Source organism: Homo sapiens, chromosome 20 (assembly GCF_000001405.40).
Source record: "Homo sapiens chromosome 20, GRCh38.p14 Primary Assembly".
Lineage (NCBI taxonomy): Eukaryota > Metazoa > Chordata > Mammalia > Primates > Hominidae > Homo > Homo sapiens.
Genome location: NC_000020.11, coordinates 42,272,612 through 42,296,394, shown reverse-complemented (window position 1 = coordinate 42,296,394; position 23,783 = coordinate 42,272,612). Strand labels below are relative to the sequence as shown.

Sequence of the window (23,783 nt, the reverse complement as noted above, 5' to 3'; positions counted from 1 at the left end):
AGCTCACTGCAAACCGTGCCTCCCAGGTTCAAGCAATTCTCCTGCCTTAGCTTCCTGAGTAGCTGGGATTACAGGCACGTGCCACCACACCCAGCTTATATTTGTATTTTTAGTAAAGACGGGGTTTCACTGTGTTGGTCGGGCTGGTCTCGAACTCCTGACCTCATGATTTGCTTGCCTCAGCCTCCCAAAGTGCTGGGATTACAGGCGTAAGCCAGGGCACCTGGCCTATTTAGCACTCTTAATCCCATCTTTTCTTGTTTAATCTTTTGCTATCTGGTTTGTCAGATTTTTCTGGTATCCATTAACTTTCACATATTGCCTATATTAGTTCGTTCTCACACTGCTATAAAGATATTACCTGAGACTGGGTAATTTATAAAGAAAAGATATTTGTTTGACTCACAGTTCCACATGGCTGGGGAGGCCTCAGGAAACTTACAGTCATGGCGGAAGGAGAAGCAAACATGTCCTTCACAAGGTGGCAGAAGAGAGACGTGCGAAGCAAAGGAACTAGAGCCCCTTATAAAACCATCTGATCTCATGAAAACTCACTATGACAAGAATAGCATGTGGGAACCACCCCTATGATCCAATCACCTCCCACAAGGTCCCTCCCCCAACACATGGGGATTACAATTCAAGATGAGATTTGGGTGGAGACACAAAGCCAGACCATAGCACTGCCTGTACAACAATAAATGACCTAATACTACTCTTCTCTTTCCCTATTTCTTCCTCTTTCTCTCTCTCTCTCTCTCAATTTTTAGTTGTATTATTTCTGCAATGACAGAAAACATAACATTTATATATCCTACTTTCATCCAACCCCTACCTTATTTCAGTCTTAGATTTACAGTTAAACATATTAAACTTTTACCCATCAGTCCTTTTGCTGAAGTTTCCTCAGTCGTATTTTTTGGATGAACTTATCTTCTGTAGATCCTTCAAGAAAGACAAGTACAGCATGCCCTGGCTTTTTGAATGTTGAAAGCTACTTTTCCATAGCTTTGCTATATGAAAAACACATGGCTAGCTATGAAGTCCTTGGTTAATATTAATACTTTCTCTGAGCTTTTGGAAAATGCTGCCACATTGTTTTCTTGCTTTGCATGCTGTTTTTGAGAAGTATCATGATAGTCTAATTCTCTTGCATGTGTACATTATTCAATCTCTTTGGCTTTGAGAGTATTTATTCTAAGTTTAATAGTTTACTAGGCTGTGTCTTGGAGTTGATCTTTTCAGGTGCATTTTCCCCAGGGTACTGTGCACTCTTTCAGTATAGAGGCTTGGGACTTCTTTTACTTCCAATAATTTTTCTTGGGTTATTGTCATAAAATATTTACCTACCTATTTTGTCTCTCTGCTCAGAAATTTCACTATATATATGTTGGATTTTCTTTGCCTTACTTTTAAACCACTTTTTCACCAATCCTTGTTAATTTTTTCTATATCTCATTTCTGTTGTCTTTGTTGGGTTTCTGTCTTTCTTTAGTGCCCCTTATTAAATTGCTGTTTTTGACATCTGGTAATTTAATCTTCATTTCTGAGGTGATCTTTTAAAAATTTCTCTCCTGAGTTAAATCAACTTTCTTTTTATTTTTTCCTGATCTTTTGTATATTTTGGTTTTTCACTTGTGCTTCTGTAAGTCAAAGTTGTTTGAGGATATTTAATTCAGTTTGTAATATTACTTCTAGACTGTTTTCTTGTTAGGGGTAGATTTTCATCATTTGTGGTGTTTTGACATTTTCTGTTTTCTTCATCTAGTAGCTTTATTAGGCTCTTTCAAATTTTAAAAAATTTTTTAGATTTAAAGTGGCTTATACGATTCTCAGTTCAGAAACAGTTTGTTCTGACTGGATAGTAAAGTACAGGTATTTTTTTCAGTCGATGATTTTGTGTGTATGTCATAGGGAATGGGTGTAGGTTCTGACTTTTTGTTTTTATTCTAGCTTTTGTGATTCTAAAAATTCCCACTTTGCTTCCTTTTTTCCTTCAATCTCCAATCTTCCAAGAGTACTTCTCCCTTCTTTTTATCTCATTTTCACCCATTGAACCTATTTCACCTGTTGAACACTACCACCTTGAGTCACATGTTCTTTCAAGTCCTTTTCCTGTACTCTTAGTTTTGATCTACCAGGAATTGTTTTAGCACTTTCATGTGTAGTGTGGTCTTTGTCTTTCTGGAACGTATTTTAGATCAGCCATGTACTCTCTGCTAGCTTACCTCTTTTCTCTTCCAAATTGTTTTTACATAGCTCTTGTTCTCCACATAGGATGACAAGGGTGATTGTGTTGAAAGCTTTAGAGATATTTCATTTATATCTGGTTCTTCTTTTTGTACCAAACAGGCCTATGACATTTTAAGACTTCTCTATACATTAATTATGCTGAAATTGTGGATTTTGTACAATTTTATTTTTTTCTTCTTTTCCTGTGTTGTTTTTGAATCATATGTGGGAAAATTTGGTGTTAAATAGTTACCAATTTCTTCAACTACCCAGATCCAACATGAATTAATGGTTGATTGACTGTGGGAAGTCACATATCTAGAAAAATCAATAATGACTCCTAGGTTGTTTGCTTAATCAACTAAGTAGATGATGGTGACATTTATTTAAACATGGAAAATTAGTGGTGAGTAAGGCTTGGAGTGAAAATAAAAGAGAAAACAATTCTTTTAGATGATTGTATATTTGATTGTGAGTATTTCAGGTAGACAGATGGATAGATGAGCCTGGATCTCAGGAATATCAATGCTAGAAAAAGTACTTTGGGAGTCATGAGAACATAATATTCAAATCCTTGCAATTTATTATAATCTCCTAAAAAAGTTAGGATACAAATGATGAAAGAGGATATAAAACCAAGCTCCAGGTCACTCCAGTGTGTTGAAGTCAAGTAAAGGATAAATACATAGGCAAAGAAAGGGATAAAGAACAGGTAGTGAAGTAGGAGAAAAGTCTGGAAGGTAGAATGACTTAAAGCCAAGATAATTAAACAGGTCAAGGAGGGAATGGTCAGTTGCAGCTAATGTTGATGAGAGATTAAGGAAGATGGAGTTGTAGCAGTGACTATGAGTGCTGACCATATAAAAGTCTTAGTGGACTTAGTGTAGTCTCACTGAAGGGAGTTCCAGAGACTTGGAGAGTTGAGGCAATGGAGTCAGCAAGTAGAGATAAAACTTACAAGAAGATTTTCAGAGGTTGGGTTTGATTTTAAATTTTCCGAATGGCTTGCATGCTACTTGGGGGCTTCCTTTCTTAGAGTATGGCTCATGGCCTTGGCTATTGCCTCAAGTGGAGCCTAATGCCTTCCAGGAAGATCTCATAAAGTTGATAGTGAACATTTGTCCAGTTAGAAGTGTCTGTAACCAATAGCCACCTATCCTGCAACCTGAGGCTGCACCTTGCCACTCACTGTTGGTTACTGAGGGTCTGCAGAATCCAGCATACGTGCTTTCTAGTGAGCTAGCACTCAAGTGCCCCACTGCTTCTGTTACCCCTTTAAAGGCATTCCTCATGCATTATCCTTTGAGGAGGAGGCTACCACATTACGTAGTCCTAATGGTTCTGAGTTACTCAAGGATTCCAGATCTTATCTGATTGTTCAAGGTCCTGCGTCAAGTCAAACAGAATTTTGTAATATCACAAACCACTTAGCCTGTTTTCCAAAGAAAGCTGTGCCCCATTGTCTTTGTGTGCCTGCCTGCAACCCAAGAAAGCATAGCATCTGACCTCAATGACAAAGGGGTATTTGCCTTACAGACACCTCAGAAAAGAAGGCCACTTGCTTGAAGTTTACTTTGTATTTTAGCCTGGCTTATTATACGTGTAACCTTGAAAAATGTTATTTAATCTTGTGAGAAAAAAATGGACATTGTCGTATCCACCTCACAGTCTTGTTATAAGGATTAAAAGACATAAACTATGCTAAGTAGGTATGAGACAAGAGAATCACTGGAACCCAAGAGGCAGAGGTTGCAATGAGCCAAGATTGAGCCATTGCACTCCAGCCTGGGCAAAAAGAGCAAAACTCTGTTTCAAAAAGAAAAAAGAAAAGAGGACATCTTTTAAAAAAAAAAAAAAATTCTTAGTGCTTCTTTCAGGTAACAAACATGTTAAGTGAGTGAGTCCCATTGGGGCTAAACAATAGCTTAAGGGTCAGTGCAATGGAAGAAAGTCAAGGAGAGTCAGTTTGTGGGAAGGCTAGACTAAGGACCCAACGCTGTCAATACCATAAGCCCAGGCTGATCCGTATGCGTGAGGTGGGGTGGGATGGTGGGAGGGAGCTCTAGAGTCAAACAGAGCAAAAATATGCTTTCCAAAGGTAGGGAAAGGTTGAGGTAGGATCACTGCAGCCACTCTTCTGGTCTAAGGCACCACCATCTCATCATTCGACTATACCACCACCTTCTTCTCACCAACTTGTTTCTCTTGCACCGTAAGTCTATTCTCTATGTAACAGCCTCTACCTTTAAAAATTTTAAACCTGAAATTTCAATTCTTCCTGCCTAAATAGCTCTTTAATGACTTCCTGTTGTTCTTAAAATATAGACCAAAACTCTATAGTCCCAAAAGGTCTCCTGGTCTTATGTCGCTAGCTTCGTTTTACATCATGCCTCAGGTAATTCATTATGATGATAGCCATGCCAGAATTTTGTATGTCTTCAACAGCACCATGCATTTTCCCACTTTCAGGCCTTTGCATGTCTGTGTCTGAGTCTGGGATGACCTTCCTGATGCTTCCTGTGTCTAACTTCTAAGGTTAAATGGTCTTTCTAAAAGCAGCAGACCATCTCCCTTCCCACCCACACCCCATGCCATCTCCCTTACACATGCACAGCACCTGGCACTTCTCACTTACTTTAGTGTACTAAACTTTTAAACACAACCTCATTTAGTTTACTGTACTAAACTTAAATATAGATTGACAAATTTTTCACCAAGTAAATACATACCTATGTGTGTTTATTGCATATCTCCCAGTGTTTATTGCAACTTTTAATTAGATACTTGTTTGTGAGAATGGTTGTCTAATGTTTGTCTCTCCCCAGGTCTGCATGCTCTATGAGGACAGGGACCATGTCTACTTTGGTCGTATTTGTAGCTCCAGTACCTAGCCCAATGTGTGGCACATAGTAATCATTCAATAAATATCTGTTGAGCAGTTGACCAAATGAGTACATGAACAAAAATTAGGTAGACTTTCAGGATCTCAGCACAGTCTTAGAGGAGAATTAAGGCCTGAGTCAAAGTTACTGGGGAAACTATGGAAAGACGCTGAGGTCAGGTCTAAATTCCATCATATCAACTGGGAAGCTCAGTCTTAGACAAAATAAAGACACAAGTTGGGATAATGTGAAAACTATTTGAAAACTATGGGATCAGGGTTAAATCTACATCCTATTAAATGAGGAGTCTAATAGAGCAGTAAAGTAAGAATTGTATGTATTAGCCAGGTACCTAGGGCTTCTTGATCAGGTTAGCAGCCTAACCCAAGTCTTTCTGGATGATAAACAGCAGCTATGAGACATTTGATGACCTAAACAGTTCCACTGTGAACTCCTCAATTGAAGAGGCATCCTAAAATTTCAGTAAATAATTGAAGGATGGATGGATGGATGGTTAGATGAGTCAGACTTGACCTAGTGTTAAAATGGAGGCTATAAGTAGATACAGATATGAGGCATTTTGAGTAATAAGGTAGGTAACAGCCTACCAAAATAAATAAATAAATAAATAAATAAAATTATTTGCATGAAATGAGGTATTAGGAAGTAGTATCAAGAAGACTGAGTACTGAAAGTAAAGGAGTACTGCCAGTAGCTAAAACCAGACGCAGCATTGAGGACTGGAAGCAACCTTGGTAGAGTGGCCTGCCTATTCTACCAAAGTGGCCTTTTCTACCCCATTCTCCATCATTTGATTGATGGGGAAATTGAGCCACAGAAAGGGACAGAGAGTTACCCAATATTGCTGCACTGGCCGAGCCTTGAGTAGAAGCATTTCTCAACAGAGCACAACAGTAAGGACACGGTGTTCTACCCCAGGGTGATTTATACCTGCATGCAGATTTTAATCTGGAGTGGGAAGTGGAGCATGGGTGAGATTAAAATGATAAGGAAATGAAATTATATTGTACTGTCCCAGAATATATTACAAACCTGGAATTAGGGTATAGTAGAGATCAAATAGAAAATACAGCTTTTTTTTCCATTCCCCAGAGACTTATATAATCCGAGAACAAAGAAAGTGCTCATTTCTTTTTGTTGAAAAGACTGGGCACTTTGGACATAGGCACACTGGCCACACCTCTCCTCTGATAAATATCAGAGTATCCAGAATATACCTGATTTGCTTGCTGACAATCTAGTCACTCAGAAGGTCAAGAGAGTGACTTAGGGCTTTGTTATTCTGTACCTAATTCTGACCAACAGAGACAAATTGGTTATGGAATTAAAGTTGTTAGGAACTTAGGAGAAAACAAACGTTTTGGCATCACGTTTGTCAGTCAGGAAGACTTAAGCATAATCGTATATACACTCTAGATCATAGAAAACAGACTTTAAAACGTGTGGTGCTGAAGGGGTGATTTTAGGAAATGGCTCATTTTCCTGCACGAAACTGTGGAAGGGAAGATTAAGGAAAGTTAAAAACTTCTCACAAATGACACAATGTACAAGAGAAGATAGAATAAACCACTGCACTAATTTACAATATCATCAACAGAGTATTCCCCTTTCTCTGCAACCTTGCCAACATCTGTTATTTTTTTGACTTTTTAATAATAGCCATTCTGACTGGTATGAGACAGTATCTTGTTTTGATTTGCATTTCTCCGATGATTAACAATGCTGAGCATTTTTTCATGTTTGTTGGCCACTTATACGTCTTCTTTTGAGAAATGTCTGTTTGTGTCCTTTGCCCACTTTTTAATGGGGCTATTTGTTTTTTTTTCTTGCTGATTTGTTAAAGTTTCTTACAGATTCTGGATACTAGTCCACTGTCAGATGCATAGTTTACAAATATTTTCTCCTATTCTGTAGGTTTACTCTGTTGATAGTTTTGTTTTTGTTTTTCTTTTGCTGTGCAGAAGCTCTTCAGTTAATTAGGTTCCAATAGTCAATTTTCGTTTGTGTTGCATTTGCTTTTGAGGTCTCAGTCATAAATTATTTGCTTAGGCCAATGCCCAGGAGAGTATTTCGTAGGTTTTCTTCTAGGATTTTTATAGTTTGAGGTCTTACATTTAAGTCTTTAATCCATTTTGAATTAATTTTTATATGGTGAGAGGTAGTGATCCAGTTTCATTCTTCTGCATATGGTTACCTGGTTTTCCCAGCATCGTTTTTTGAATCGGGTGTCCTTTCTCCATTGTTTATTTTTTTCATCTTTGTTGAAGATCAGTTGGTTGTAGGTGTGTGGCTTTACTTCTGTCCCTGTGGAAAGCAGTTTGGAGACTTCTTAAAGAACTAAAAACATAACCACCATTTGACCCAGAAATCCCATTACTGGGTACATACCCAAAAGAAAAGTAACCATTCTAACAAAAGGAGACATGCACTTGTATGTCTATCACAGAACTATTCACAATAGCAAAGACATGGAATCAACCTAGGTGCCCGTTAGTGGTGGGTTGGATAAAGAAAACATGGTTCATATACTCCATGGAATACTATGCAGCCATAAAAAAGAATAAAACCATGTCCTCTGCAGCAACATGGATGTACCTGGAAGCCATTATCCTAAGAAAATTAGTGCAGAAAGAGAAAATCAAATGCCACATGTTCTGTCTTGTAAGTGAGAGCTAAACATTGGGTACACATGGACATAAAGATGGAAACAATAGACATTGGGGACTCCACAAGTGGGGAAAGAGGGAGAGAGGCAAGGGCTGAAAAACTACATATTGGGTACTATGTTCATTTGTTCACTCTTTGGGTGATGGGTTCAATAGAAGCCCTAACCTCAGCATTCCATAATATATTCATGTAACAAACCTGCACACCAACCCTCTGAATCTTAAAACAAAACAAAACAAAACAAAACAAAAAAACTCTGCAGAATTCCCTTTATTGTGACCACATTTTAAGAGAATATTCCCACAGAAAGCAAATTAATGTTCACATTTGCAGAGAAGAAGTGACCAGAAGAAGCATGAGGGAAACTTCTGAGGTGCTGGCAATGTTGAGTGTTTTGATCTGGGTGCTGGTCATAGGTGTGTGTTTACTTGGTGAAAAATTTGTCAAACTGTATTTAAGTTTAGTATACTCATCTGCATGTATATTGCACTTCAAATTAATTGTGCAAGAATTATTAAGATTTAGTCTGTTTCCTTCAGGATGTATTTTTTAAATGCTTAAATTTGCATGTTGTAACAAAAAAATGTACTTTGCTTTATTTATTTAATATTCTCTTATGTGTATCATCCCATGTTATTACATGGCCCTCACAATCATTTTTGTTAACAGCTCCATAATATTCTACTATGTAGATAGACCCCAGTTTTCCTTTTGGAATTTTTTCTTTTTATGTTTTTAACGTATACTAATTGTAAATATTTATGGGATACATAGTGATGTTTTGAGACATATAATGAATAGTGATCAGATCAAGGTAATTAGCATATTCATCATTTTGAATATTTACCATTTCTTTGTGTTGGGAACATTCAGTATCCTCTGTCTAGCTATTTGAAACTATATATTTTGCTTAACTATAGTCATCCTACAGGGCTACAGAACACTAGAACTTATTCCTTCTATCTAGGTATAATCTTGTATCCTTCAACAAATCTTTCCCTTTCTCTCTCTCCACTTCCTAACCTCTAGTATCTGCTTCCTGCTTTTTACCTCTATGAGATCAACTTATTTTAGTTTCTGCATATGAGTGAGAACATGAAGTATTTAACTTTCTGTTTACTGCTTATTTTCCTTAATGTAATGTCCTCTAGTTCCATTTATGTTGCCACAAATGACTGGATTTTATTCTTTTTATGGCTGAATAGTACTCCTTGTTGTATATATACCACATTTTCTTTATTCATCTGGTTTTGGACACCTAGTTTGATTGCCTGTCATGGCTATTGTGAATAGTGTTGCAATAAGCATGATGCAGATGTCTCCTCAATATATTGATTTATCTTCCTTTGGATAAATGCCCAGTAGTAAGATTGCTGGATCATATAATAGTTCTATTTATAGTTTTTTTGAGGAACCTCTGTACTGTTCTCCATAGTGGCTGAACTAGTTTACATTCCCATCAACAATGTATAAGAGTTCCCTTTTCTGCACATCCTCAGCAGCATTTGTTATTTTTTTTGTAATAGCCATCTTAACAAGGGTGAGATGATACCTCATTGTAGTTTTAATTGGCATGTCCCTGATGATTAGTGATATTGAGCATTTTTTATATATTTGTTGGCCATTTGTATATCTCCTTTTGAGAAATGCCTGTTAAGATCATTTGCCCATTTTTTTAGTTGGATTTTTATTTGCTGTTGAATTGTTTGAGTTCCTAGTATGTTGTGAATATTAATTCCCTGAGGGATGAATAGTTTGCAGATACTTTCCTTCCATTTTGTAGGTTGCCTTTGTACTCTGTTTATTGTTTACTTTTCTGTACATAATTTTTTAGTTTTATATAATCCCACTTGTTTATTTTTGCTTTCTTTGCCTATATGTTTAAGGTCTTATTCATAAAATATTTTCCTAGATCAGTGTCATATGTTTGGTTTCAGACCATTTCCCTTATGTTTTCTTCTAGTAGTTTTATAGTTTCAAGTTTTACATTTATGTCTCTTATCCATTTTGAGTTGATTTTTGTATAGGGTGAGAGGTGGCGGTCTAGTTTCGTTCTTCTGAATATGGATGATCCATTTTCTTAGCACCACTTATTGAAGACACTGTCCTTTCCCCAGTGAGTGTTCTTGGTGACTTTATCAAAAATCAGTTGACTGTAGATATGTGCATTAATTTTGGCGTTTTTAAAAATATTATTTCATTGGTTTATGTGTCTGTTTTTATGCCAGTACCATGCTGTTTTTGTTATTACAGCTTTGTAGTATATTTTAAAGTCTGTTAGTGTGAAACCTCTAGCTTTGTTCTTTTTGCTCAGGACTGTTTTGGCTATTTGCGGTCTTTTGAGTTTTCATACAAATTTTAGGACTTCTTTCTATTTCTATAATGAATGCCATTGGTATTTTGATAGAGATTACATTCAATCTATAGATTGCTTTGGAGAGTCTGATTATTTTACCAATATTAATTCTTCCAATCCATGACCATGAGATATCTTTCTATTTGTTTCCCTTCAATTTCTTTCAACAGTATTTTTGGTTTTTCTTGTAGAGGTCTTTTACCTCCTTGGTTAAATTGATTTCTAGGTATTTTATTACTTTTGGTAGTTATTATAAATGAGATTGCCTTATTGATTTCTTTTTTAGGTAGTTTATTGTTCATGTATAGAAACAGTACTGATTTTTGTATTTTTTAGGTAGTTTATTCATGTATAGAAACATTACTGATTTTTGTATGTTGATTTTGTATTCTGCAACTTTACTGAATTTGCTTAGCAGTTCTAGGAGTGTTTTTTTGGTAAAGTTTTTGGTTTTTCGTATACATAAGATCATGTCATGTGCAGACAGAGACAGTTTGACTTTTTTTTTTCCAATTTGGATGCCCTTAAATTTTTCTCTTGCCCAGTTGCTCTGGCTAGGACTTGCAGTGCTGTGTTGAATAAGAGAGACCACAGCTTTCTTTGCCATGCCTGTGTGGTTAGACAGATATATCGCTCATGATTTTCACTTTTATAAAGAACACTGGAACCAACATCATTGAATATAAAGCTTCATTTATATTTAAAGTTATTCCCTGAGAAAAGATTCTTAGATGTCTGGACAGATAAGACTGAATTTCTTTAAAGTGAAGATACATATTTAGAAATTACTCTCAGCAGTATTAGCCTCATCAAACCTTTGCCCTCTGCTCTATTCAAAAATCATGCACAGAACTGGCAAGTTTTCTAATATATTACTTTCAAAATCTTTTTTTGTTGTTGTTGCATTACCATGAAGTGGAAGATCATTCTAACCATCTATAGTCTCCTGGCACCTCTCCCAGTCTACACAATTTCTCAATGATAGTCATTGTGACACTGTACAATCATTTGCATGTCTTCTTCAGTGTTCTGGGTTTCATGCTTTATTTAACCGTCTCAAGCTCTTTAAACCAAAACACAGGGTATGGTGCTATTGGAATGGAAGCCAACAGAAGCTGAAAACCTTTGTCCAAACATGAAAACAGAAATGAGTTTGCTCACTTTAATTGTCATATGCAAGATTTAACTTGTAACTTAAGCTTTTTGTACATCACATTTAGAGCAATGTCCTTTACTGTTACTTTTTTTCTCAGCCATTTTCCTTTTTTTTTTTTTCATCTTTTGGGTATGTTCTCTGAAAAAACTTTGTTATTGAAATGTAACATGCTTCAAATTTTGTGTGAAGATTTTATATGAATGATTCATATACTTGAACCATGACTTGTCATTTTTTTAACATTTCCAAATTATCTACTTTATAAAATGAAATAATTGTTTGTTTTAAAGAGAGACACTTATAGTTTTTATGAAGAAGAAAACACTTGTTCCGAAGAACAAGTCATGTCAACCCAACCTTCTTTCTTTAAGACAGTCTTTGCACTGATTGGAGAAATGCAATAGACAGAGTATCAGTGTCTAAAAGGAATTTGAACCTATTCTCAAGCTCAATTCATAAGCAGTTTAGGATATTAGCAATTAGTTCTGATTCTGATTAACAGATGAATATCAACGTGGAAGAAGGAATCTAGTACATGTCATAAGGTTCTACCATTGGCATTATCCAGATTGTTACTTATATTAATGATCTGGATGAAATTAAAGAAAAAAATGATTTCTAAAAATTTTCAGCTTGTGGAGACTGTGATGATGGCCTGTAGTACTTGGATCAGTTGAAGAAGATGGAAATTGTAGTGGTAAATATGACTCTGTACTTGGGTTTCAAAAATATAGCCACACTTGTACATGTAGAAGCAGGCTTCTAACCAATACTTTTATTTTTGGTTGGGGGAGACGGATAAACACCAGGATGTTAGCTATGTTAATAGAAGCCCAATATAAGTAAGGATAATAGTGATAGTCTAGATAATCATATATCAATATAATCATGTATCAATAAGAGCATGTATAGACTGCTGTTTTGTGTTCTAGTCACCCCACATTAATAGGATAAAGTGGAGTTTGTCCTAGAATGAGCAGCTAGGATAGCTCAAAAGACTTGAACTCTTATAATATGAGGAATTGATAAAGAAGAATGTTTATGAGCCCGAGAACCATCTTTCATTATCCAGACCTCTTTTTTACACAAGCAAAAGCAGACTTTCTGTGCATTTTGAGGAAAAGAATCAAGACTATTGGCGATAACTATGAGATTAATTATGGGGAGTCATACTTGGACGTAATAGAAGTGATCATTTCCAGCATTCAGAGGTGTACCTAGATGGAATAGAATCTGCCGTAGACATTGTCATGTCTTCTCTACTTCTGGATACATGGGAGGATTCCATTTCCCCATCTCACTAAAATTAGGCATGGCCATGTGTCTGGTTCTAGCCAATAAAGCACGCATAGAAGTGAAAGTGTCGCTTCTGATTCAAAGCATTTGATTGATACTGCTTTACCCTTTAGCACTCTCTCCCCTTGGGTTAAAATGGACATACCAGCTATGATCTCTGAGTGGTTACAATGGTCAGAGTGTCTCCCAATCACCCCCAATCTCACCCCTTAGACCCAGCCACACACCTACATTGGACAGGTAGTTTGAATGGAAAATAAACCTTTGCTGTTTTTAGCCACTGAAGTTCAGGGGTTTTATTATGGCCTCCTAACCTTTCCTATCCTGATTGCCACCAATCCCTTCAAGATGCAATGGTTCTTTGTGAATGAGCTGCAGCAAGACAAGAATTGGATGATTGACAGATTTTTGGTTCAGCAACTCACATACTTGCATTCTTTGCATTTTACTTTCCTTGCTACACTGAATTCAGACTGTTGTTGGGGGTATAATTTAGTCAACTGGAATTTTCAGCTGGTTCCAGGACCTCCTGGGAGATGAATCCCAGTAAAGCGGGCAGAGAATTCTCTTCCTAAGCACACTCTTCATTAACTCCACTGTGTGCCCAGCAACATCACACATTTATGAATCCTTTTTACTTTGGCAACAGCTAACAACAACTAGATAGTTCACCTAGCAAAGATTCTATTGCCACACACATTATTTATGAAGGTTGCGAGGCCCACACAAGAGCTCAGGGGAAAAGTAACTTTTGAACATGAACTTTGCAGTTTGAGTTTGACATGTTTCATATAGACTGGACTATTGCCAAGTATCTCTTCCCGTCTATGCATGTAGATGCATTATTGCTAGTAACAAAGTTTCCCAAGGATGCCCTCCTTCCATCTGCTCACTCATGCAACTGAACAAAGCACATTGCATACCCCAAGTACCCACTACGTGTTATTGTTAAAGATGATGAGTGCTGGGAATTATCTGATATGTTTATAAAGTGGTTCTGTCTGGGAATGAGGTTTATGAGATGGTAGGAGTCAGGAAGTGAACTGAATAACATATGTACCTAGCCTGAGAAAAAAATTAAAAAATGGAATTAAAAGGTCATCCGATGGGGAAAAAAATGGAAAGGGCAAATTTAAAATTATAATTAAAAATACATATGCATGAATATATATGCAAATATATATGTATTTTTGTCTTTATATAACAATTTTATATAACTCACAGCTAATTAATTGGCATCTCATTTTTGTTGTTCACAGGAGACCAAAATCAACTGTGTTCGTCTGGCTACAAAAGGTATGTTGGCATCTGCTTGTCTGTCTTCACCTGTTCTTCAGCCATTTAAGTATTTCTTTCTAGCCACACAGAGAAAGATTAGGCAACAGTAACTCAAAACAAGAAAGAATTGTTATTTTCACCGGAGTCATTTGCATCTAGAACATACATTCTAGGGTGTATATTAGTAGCACAGTGCGTAAAATAGAGTAAAAGTTTAAAACATATTTACTGAATGGATGGATGGGTGGATGAATGGTGTAAAAGGATGGACTGGTACTTTGATCAGTGGAGTGATGGATATAAATTTACTCAAATATTCTTTTGATATATGTTTTTCTTATATTTGGGTCTATGTTTATGTGGGTATTTTTTAAGCATGTCTATTAGACCCATCTACTGAGTTCTGTACTTCGTTCTGTTGGTACACAGCTTTCAAAAATGAGGTGATTAGTACTGGGGCCTTTAGTAATGAGAAGACAAACGCTGCATTATTACGTGGTTGGCATTTTCAACACTTATCCCCAAAACTAAGGCAGCATTGTTCAGGCTCATCACTTTTGTTTTCCTAATTATAATTGAATTGCCTGGCTCTTTCAGTTGGTACATGTTTCTGTTTATTACTCTTTTTAAAAAACAAAATCAATGAATGGTTTGCTATCGTTTAACCTATTACAGGGTTGAATAGTTAGAAATCAGATGTATCTTTTTGTTACAGAGTTGATATTTTTAACAGCAAACCCTCCCCATACACACACAACAGAACTGGGCAATTCTACTCTGTTCCCTGAATTTACTGGCAGCATCCATAGTTTCATAGACTGCTTCCAAGGAGATAAAAGTGGTAAACGTAAGTAGGCATATAACCGTAGATTTAAAGTACAGAGAAAAGCGATGACCCAAGTATGTATGTGTATGTGTGTAAATATATAGACACATGCACAACGACAAAACCACACAGAGGAACATAAACACACACACGGGCAGAGTGGGGAGAAAAAGAGAGAAAAAAATCTACAGCTACTTGACGAAATGTGCACCAAGACCCATCACACATGACTTTTATAACTTTGAAGAAAATCAGCCCAATATGTAGGCACAAAAGAGAAGATGCAGGAGGAAGAAGAAAACGGAAGCACTAGGGCTCCCTGTGATAAGAAGTCACCATGATTTCACATGAGTCACAGAGGGTGACATGTCCCTAACTTGTTCCCTCTCAGGAACTCAGGCTCCTGGATGGAAAGAGATAAAATACTCTCTGTGAGGCAAGGAGAATTGATGGCCTGCAAACAAAAGTGACACAAATCACAGATATTGGCAGACTTTTCCACTGAAGAAAACAGATAATGTAGAAGGAAGAACACCATCAATTGGGTAGCACTAGGGCTCTAGACAGCAATCGGGAGAGCTAGGTGTCTGCAGCCTGCTTAAATAAGCAGCTGGAGAGGGAAGGAAACTCACAGAGAAAGCTCCTTCACTATGGTATGCTCTATGGCTCCTCGGTGGCTTTCGATTTCTAGACCAGGAGAGATGGATGCAATGGATTTGCACTCCATGGGGTAGGTGGGATTCTAAGGACACCCTCTGGGATGTAAGCTCTATTAGAGGGTAGCTGGCTGGGTCATAATTTCTGAACTGAGAATTGGAAACATGAGACCTGACAAGCAATAGGAACATATGGGGACAGTGGAAGAATCTCTAAAACTATACTCTCCTGAAAACTTCAGGACTGCAGTCCTCAGAGACATAGAAGCCCACCCTGCTGGGCTTCTCTAGAGTTGCTTTGCTGATGTGCAAGAGAATTGCAGTGACATTTAAAGAACCAGACAGAAGAGTTCTCTACCTCTCCTTAGCATAAGGGCTTCCCCTCTTGCTTGAGCTTTAGGTTACCATCTTTCCTTAAGTGAATGGAGTGTGTATGCAGGTAAAGTAAGCGTGTGTGAAAGGATAGGAATGCATGAATGAGTGTGAATGCCCAGCTGTCCAAGCCCAGGCAGGCTTCTGAGAGGTCAGGGTATTGGGAAATCAGAGCATCCGCATTCTGGTTTTCCAATTTGGTGAGATCCAACACTTAAACCCAAAGAAATGAGGCTCCAGTAGCACTTGGGAATGGGGTAGAGAACTAGATAGTGCAGAATGTCAGTCGGACACAGTTCAGTTATCCCCTCTCACCACATCAGATAAGAAGGATGCTTGGGGAGCATAGGACAAAGGGAAGCAGACCTGTGTTTGATGAGTGTCTACTTGGTGCCTGGTACTATGCTTAGAGTACCTAGGGTTGATTAAAGGCAAACCCTATCTATTATAAATCCGTCCACTGCCCGTGAGGAGTTTGTATCAAGAACCTAAAGCTGGGAATCAATATTCTGTTTATCCCATCCCTTCCTGACCACCCGGATCAAATTTCCTCTAGGCAGCCTTCCTGAAAACAGTATTCTTTTTAACACAGGAAGATACTGAGAATCCCACGGACTTTGGAAGCATATGAAGTCCCAGAGATGGGTCACCAGTCTCTCCCAAGGCTCTTCCCTCTCTCTGTCATCACGGCAGCTGCTTCATGGGTCTGATGGAGGGCATCCAGACCCTGAAGTCCATATGTCAGACTCAAGGCCAGTACTCTGGTGATGAAGCAACTTGCCGCTGTCTGGTCCCTGACCCTGGAGAGTCCAGCCACTGTCTATGACCAGCTACATGAATCCCACAGAACCAGATGGTTGCCAGTTGTAACAGCCCTAAGCACTCATTCAGGATCATTCTAACTTGACCCCAAGCCTAGTACCCCTTACACAAGAATATTAGACACACACCTGGCTCCAGCATGTGTCTCCAACCCTTTCCTTTGTGTAATGTTGCTACTAGTAACTCTGGATCTAATTTAGTACCACCCAGCTTGGACGGTTGCAAAGTAATGGACCTCTATTAGTTTCCTGTGGCTGCTGTAACAAAGTCCTACAAATTGGTTGGCTTAAATAACACAAATTTATTGTCTCACAGTTCTGGAGGTCCAAAGTCTGAAATCAAGGTGTCTGCAGACCTTGTTCCTTCTGAGTGTTGTGAGGAAGAATCTTTTCTACGTGTGTCTCTTAGCTTCTGGTGGTTTGCTGGCAAATCTTTGGCATTTCTTGGCTTTTGGAAGCGCCACCCTGATCACTGCCTTACCATCACATGACATTCTCCTTGTCTGCTTGACTGTGTTCAAAATTCCCCTTTTTATGAGGATACTACCACCTAATCCAATAAGGATGTTTGATTAGGGTAGCAAAAAGCAAGGGAATTTCCTTGAATATAAAAGCTAAAAGACATTTTGAGCACTTTGCTTGACACACTCTAGACCTGGGAATCAATCTGATCAGAGCCATAGAGAGAAAACTGCAGCCAGTGGGTAAACAGGCATTAAGTGATGGTTTGGATTTAAAACTATTATTCAGACTCTGAAAGGAAGACAATAGAAAGCCACAGAGCAAAAAAGAGCAATTTAAAAATCAGGTTTTGTTCTTATCATTAAAATAGGAAATGTTAGAAAGGGCAAGTGAGCAGGGGAATCATTTAGAACCATACCTTTGGAAGATGAGGGATGGGCTCAACATAGGTAGCAGGTTGAAGATGTCAGCCACAGGTGCTTAAGGTGATCCTTTAGAAAATGGAGCATGTGGAAGCTTGGGGTAGGGACTTAGACTTCAGAGGTGCTAATGCTCAAGTAGAGAGAAAATGACCCTTCCCATGAGAGGTACATTATCCCATCTGGTAGAAGATGCCCCAGGTTGCAGCTGCTAAAGGAGGTACCCAGGTATCTCAATTCATGTCCTCTGGCTGAGACAGAGCAGGCCAAGGGAAAATTGTTTCTGACCTAGTTGTTCAATTCTAGAACTATATTGTTCAGTCCCCCTTTGAGAAACTGATGCCCAGTTCCATCCAAGTTCTCTTACCCACTGATGTCCTGTCTTTCTAATTCTTCCGTGACTCCTTTCTTGTACTCATCTGTTCATTTTGCTACTTTTCCTTACCCACAGGCCTTGCCCCACCAGTCTTGCCTGCGTGATCTGATCCCTTCCTCCCTCCAGCCTCCTCTAAGCTTCTATCCTTTTATTCTCTTATTACACTCTGGCACACTGGTCTTCTTTCAGTTTTTCAGGCACATCAAACTCCTCCCAAGCTTGGGGCCTTCGCTCATCTTGCCCTCTCTCTGAAATGCTTTGGCTACTATATATGTCTCCTTAATAGATAAATATCTTAACAGAGAAGTATCTTTAAGATGGCCTCTTAAACCTTATGTCCTCAGAAGACCATCCTGACCTCTGTTTTAATGTATATCCCTAATTTTCCACTCTCACTAAACCCTGTACTTTTCCTTCATAGCACTCATCACAACTTGCAAATATATATATATATATATATATATATATATATATATATATATATATATATATATATATATAGTCTACTTACATGTTTAATGTCTATCTCCCTGCTAGACTCTAAGTGACGTAAGTGCAAAGACTGTGCTTATTTTGAGCACTGTTTTATTATTCCCAGATCTCAGCATATACTGGTACTCAATGAAATGCATTGGATGAACAAATGGATGGATGGATGGATGGATGGATGGATGGATGGATGGATGGATGAGTGGATGACTAACAGGTCATTATTCTTCCATGGCTTCATTTTTTTCAAATGCAAGTTACATGTCAGGATTGTTCTCTTAAATGGTAGGAGTAAAAGTGACAGAGGTAAAGTGTCCACTATGGGATCTGCAGTCCCCACTAACAAGAAGGCCAGCCAGCCTCTGTTTCTGTTCCTGCTGTGATAGAGATCTCTCTACCCACCATGGACTTGCTTCACACTTTGGACACTTCCGTTTGAGAGGGCTTCTACATTATGAGTCCAAACTGGCTCCCTATTATTTTTCTGCCCATCAGTCCTTGAAGTCAAATAGATTCTGTCTACCATTTCTCCTTTCAGAAAATGAAATTTGCTTCCTCTGACCTGCTCCTCCAGCCTTGGTTAGGGTCAGGAAGGTGCATGCTTGCTTCTTTCCATTGGGTGGAACCACTCTGGCTGCCAGCAGGCAGCAGCACTCCCATCTTGTCTCCAGCGCCAGCCGTCAAGGGAACACAGCTGGCTCTGCAGACTCCCGCTGGGTGCGCCCGAGTGGCAGTTAGAAAAATCAGCTTTGATTTGATTTGCAAACTGAGCCGAGTCATTGAGACAAAATAAACCCAGAAACCCATAAAGCCATTTGCAGAGTTGCTTTGCAGAAGACAGCCACAGTTTTAATCTAGTAAACACTCTCTAACGATCCCATTAAAACAACCCCCTTGGAGTGGGTGCTGAAAGCTGAACTCCAGAATAATGAAGCATAGGATGAGGGGCCAGTGTCACCAGTAGTTTTGTTCTGCTTGGTGGCAGCGATGGACTAACGCCATTGTTCCAATAGTGACAGCAAGAGGTTTGGGCGCTGGCTTTTGTAAATATGCCTTCTTTTCATAAGAGCTAAGCCTGAGATAAAGCATTTCATCTGGCATTTTCCTCTCCTTTTCCCATAATGGATTCTCACTCCTGCAGGGACCAGCAGGGACACTAAATAGCCATTTTTCAGTGAGATGCTCTCATTTAACAGATGCTAAGACTGGGGCCCAGAGGAGGAGTGATGTGTCCATGCCTTGTTTATCCACAGAATCACAGCCACAGGTGGTGTGATAATCCTCTGCTATCAATAGGCAATGCCTACTCCCATTGATACAAGCCTATGTGGAAGATTCTGTTTTATATAGGAAGCTTCCTTGAGAGGTTGCATGGAATAATTGGAAATTAGAAACACCTGGATTCAAATCCTGTCCCCCAAAATTTAGCTGTTAGACCTTGGACAAGTCAGTTAAAATCTACGAATCTGTCCCTTCACTTTGAAGCCTGAGATCGGTAGCCCTTTCTACCAAGTATTCAAGAACATTATATATATATATATATATATATATATATATATATATATATATATATATATATATATATATATTTCCTTCTTTCTCTCTTCCTTTCTGAGTCTTTAATGTGGGACTTGGAGACCCAGACCTACTAAGCACAGATCCTCTCTCTCAGTTCTCTAAGGAAAAAGCCACAGCCCAGACTCTAGTCACTGCTTGTACAGTTCTACAAATCAGCCGTTTGTCAAATGGATACAGGTTAGATCCAAAGTGAAGAAACCCAGAGGGGACAGGAGTGATGTTGGCCTCACTTTTCAGTACTTGACCTTCCCATTGATAGGTTGTTGTCTCTAGATGAGATCCTGCAGAGCAATAGTATTCTTTTATGGACATGTATAGGATTGTGGTCATCCCTTTTCTAGCCTTGACTATGACACTGTCCTTTCTTCATCACCAGACCAGCAATTTCAGGAGGGACCCAGGAGCATAGCATGTCCAAATCTAGCTAGAGCAACCAGGGTAGGGGCCATAATGGGGAATCACTTGTGAGAGGAAAGACTCTAGTGAGATAGTCTATTGGAAAGCTCTTGATTGTTGTTCAGTCTTTATAAATCTTGTCAAACTTTTGGAGGTGAAAGCTCAGACTGTGTGGCTGGAGGGTTTGGGCAGGACAATGCTATTCTTCCTTAGCTGAGTCCCATGAGATACATTTTCCAGGACTGGGATCCTCAGAGTTACATGAGTGTAACAAATTCTCCTTGACTTGTGGCCCCCTTTGCTCTCACTGACTGTCTTCTAGGTCCTAAAATGTCAATGGAAAAATACAGATTTTCCTAAAGGTTTTGCAAGAAGTTGGAGGAAGAGAACTATATCATAAGTACACATAAGATAGCCTAAATATGACCTTTAAATATCCCAACTCTTTCTTTAATATTTTTCTTGCTACAACAGCTGGCACATCTCTCTAGCCTCTCTAGTTGTGCTCAAACTTCCCCCGCCACACACACCCCTTCCATACCCCACTTCCATACCCCACTCAGGAAGACAAAAGCTGGTTTGATAGAGTTCAGAAAAACAAGTGAGGATTAACTCTTGCCATTCAAGCATGTACCTTGGGAGTTCCAATCCATCTTTCTCAACTAGAAATAAGAATTATCTACTCAAGATCTGAGAGACACCTGAGTCGACTTGATCGCAAGTCTGTTATTGCAAAGCAGTTGCATCTTCTAAAGGAAAAGGGGGGCCTTTTAAAATTGGGAGTCCGGGAAGGAACACATTTGGGGTAGGCTAGAGACAAGGGTTATAAATAAAGAGAATAAAGCTCTATTGGATATTTTAAACCCCATTGATGGGATCTCAATGTGATGTTTGAGGAGGGATTAAAAGGGATTTGCAAAAATTAACCACCTATTGTGTGCCAGTCACAGGGCTTTGTGTGCTGACACAAGGTTTCAGTGTGATGACAGAAGTAAAGCCTGACACTTAGCACACACTAAATAAATAGTGGTCATCGTTATTACTTAATGATGGGCCAAATGGGCTCAAGGGGTTAAATAAGGAGCTCAAGTTTCCTCAGAATTGGAAATCAGATCTGATTCCATTGTGTTAATACTATAGACAGATGAGATTCATTGACCACTGACAGGATGCTCTGTCTCCTACCTATTTGTTAACCTCTTCCCATGCCTCTTTTCTAGTAATAATTGATAATAGAATATTTAGCATGTGATGGTCTTTGGCCTGTCTCCAGGAGTATTCAAGCTAAGTCCTGGAGCAGAAGGTGAGGTGGCTCAAGAAATCCTCAACTTTCTTCACTTCCACAACATATTGAAGCTAATAAACCAAAAAATTAGTTAGTCTTCAGGGTTGTCTGCTCCAGGGCCATCTGTAGCCCAGCAGCATCTCTCTGCACTCAACACTGATTGCTTTAGAAGGGACAAGAGTCAGAAGGGAAGTCTGAGACATTCAGCATTCTGAGCTCCTTCTTTGCAGGCTAACACACACACACACACACACACACACACACACACACACACACACACACACACACACTGTACAGGGCCTGGAAACAGTAAAGAGAGAAGGGTAATGAATCCTCAAAACGTGATGTGGTCAGGGGACCAGGTGATGCAGGAGAAAGCAAGAGACCTCTACCTCAGCAACTGGATTAGTTAGGCTAGGCTAGGCTTTGCTAACATAACAAGCTAATACCCAACTCCCAGTAGCTTAATACCACAAAGGCATATTTGTTGCTGTGCCATCTAGAATATATGTGGTCTCAGAGAACCCCTGAGCAGGGGAAGAGAAAGCATGGAAGTGGCAACTTGGATCTTAAATATGTCACTCGGAAATGACTCATGCCACTTCCACTTACATGGCCTTGATGAGAGCTAGTCACATGACAACAGCCCAACTGCAAGTTGACTGGAACTCTTTCCTATGCCCAAGGATAGATGGAACAGACACTGGTAAACATGAGACATCTCTAGAACCATATATGTAAACAGGACCTTTTTCTGTTTCTGCCTCCTTTTGTGTTTTGCTGAGATCCATGATCCATCCCACTATATTCTGCCCACCAACTAGAAAAATCTCTCCCCATTCCTGCATTTATCCAGCTGTCCCTCTGTTCCTACCCCAGATAGCTGAGCATTACTGCTAAGCACAGCATGGGTTGCAGACCTAGAGGATGGAGTGGGGAGGTACCTCCTCTAGGCCCACCAACCCAACTAAGGCTTTAACTCTTTTCCATTTGATCCTCAAGATGACTTCATGAGATAATTATTACCTCCACTTTATAAGTGGAGAAATTAAAATTTAGAAATGTATGTAATTTTCCAAATGACACAGCTAGTGAGTGAAAAATACTGAATCAGACTTTCATGTATTCATTTACTTTTCAGTAAGCATTTATTGAGTACAACTTAGTATTGATATGTAATCCCACATTCCCTAGTGGTTAAAAACATCATCTTTAGATTTGGATGGTCTTTGATTCTAGGTAGGAAAAGGTACTAAACTATTCTGTGTCTCTGTTTCCCCATCTATAAACCAATGACAATAACACCACTTATGGCTGGGTGCGGTGGCTCACGCCTATAATTCCAGCACTTTGGGAGGCTGAGGCGGGTGGATCACCTGAGGACAGGAGTTCGAGAATAGCCTGGCCAACAAGAAGAAACCCCATCTCCACTAAAAATACAAAATTAGCTTGGCATGGTGGTGCATGCCTGTAATCCCAGTTACTCAGGAGGTTGAGGCAGGAGAATCGCTTGAACCCAGGAGGTGGAGGTTGCAGTGAGCCGAGATCATGCCATTGCACTCCAGCCTGGGCAACAAGAGTGAAACTCCATCTCAAAAATAAATAAATAAGTACTACCACTTACTGCACAGGGCTAATGTAAGAATTTCATGAGAAAATGTATCGAAAGTACTTAATATAATACCTGGCTTGTAAGAAACACTCAGCAAATAGTAGTTCATGGGAGAGGCAATGAATAAATATAAGTCCAATAAGGGCTGTCGTCAAGGCAAAATCAGGATGTCACTGGTGGGCAAGAAGGGAGACATAAATCAACTTAGGGTATGCTATTTCAGAATGTGTGATCACTGAGATAAGGTTTGAAAGAAGAGTAACAATTATCATGTCGAACAAGGTTGCAAAGTAAGTCAAGAAAGCCTTCAAGCCAAGGGAGTAGGTATGCAAATCACTGAAGGCAAGAGAGCATGCCACTGAATTTAAATGGGACAAGGCAAAGGAATGATGGCTAGTAGGCCAGTGTGACCAGATGAGGTTAGGAGTGATCAGGGGCCACCCAGGACTCTGTGTAGCCCCACTGTATGTGTGTGTGTGTGTGTGTGTGTGTGCGCGCACGTGTGTGTGCACGCATGCGCGCACATATAAAAGCATTGTCCTTAGATAGTGGAGCCCCTGGAGGTACTTAAGCAGACTGCCTTTTTGGGGAAGGACACCCTAG

General features: G+C 39.1%; 1 protein-coding gene across 11 annotated transcripts in view; it reads left to right on the top strand.

Moving 5' to 3' along the window:
- The window catches only part of PTPRT (protein tyrosine phosphatase receptor type T), a 1,158,017-nt gene that overhangs the window by 893,512 nt on the left and 240,722 nt on the right, over positions 1-23,783 (top strand). For all 11 annotated transcript variants that reach the window (XM_047439848.1, NM_001394024.1, NM_007050.6 and 8 more), the window contains exon 13: positions 13,870-13,906. In XM_047439848.1, coding sequence (XP_047295804.1) covers positions 13,870-13,906 — 37 coding nt within the window. The remainder of the gene's footprint in view (positions 1-13,869; positions 13,907-23,783) is intronic.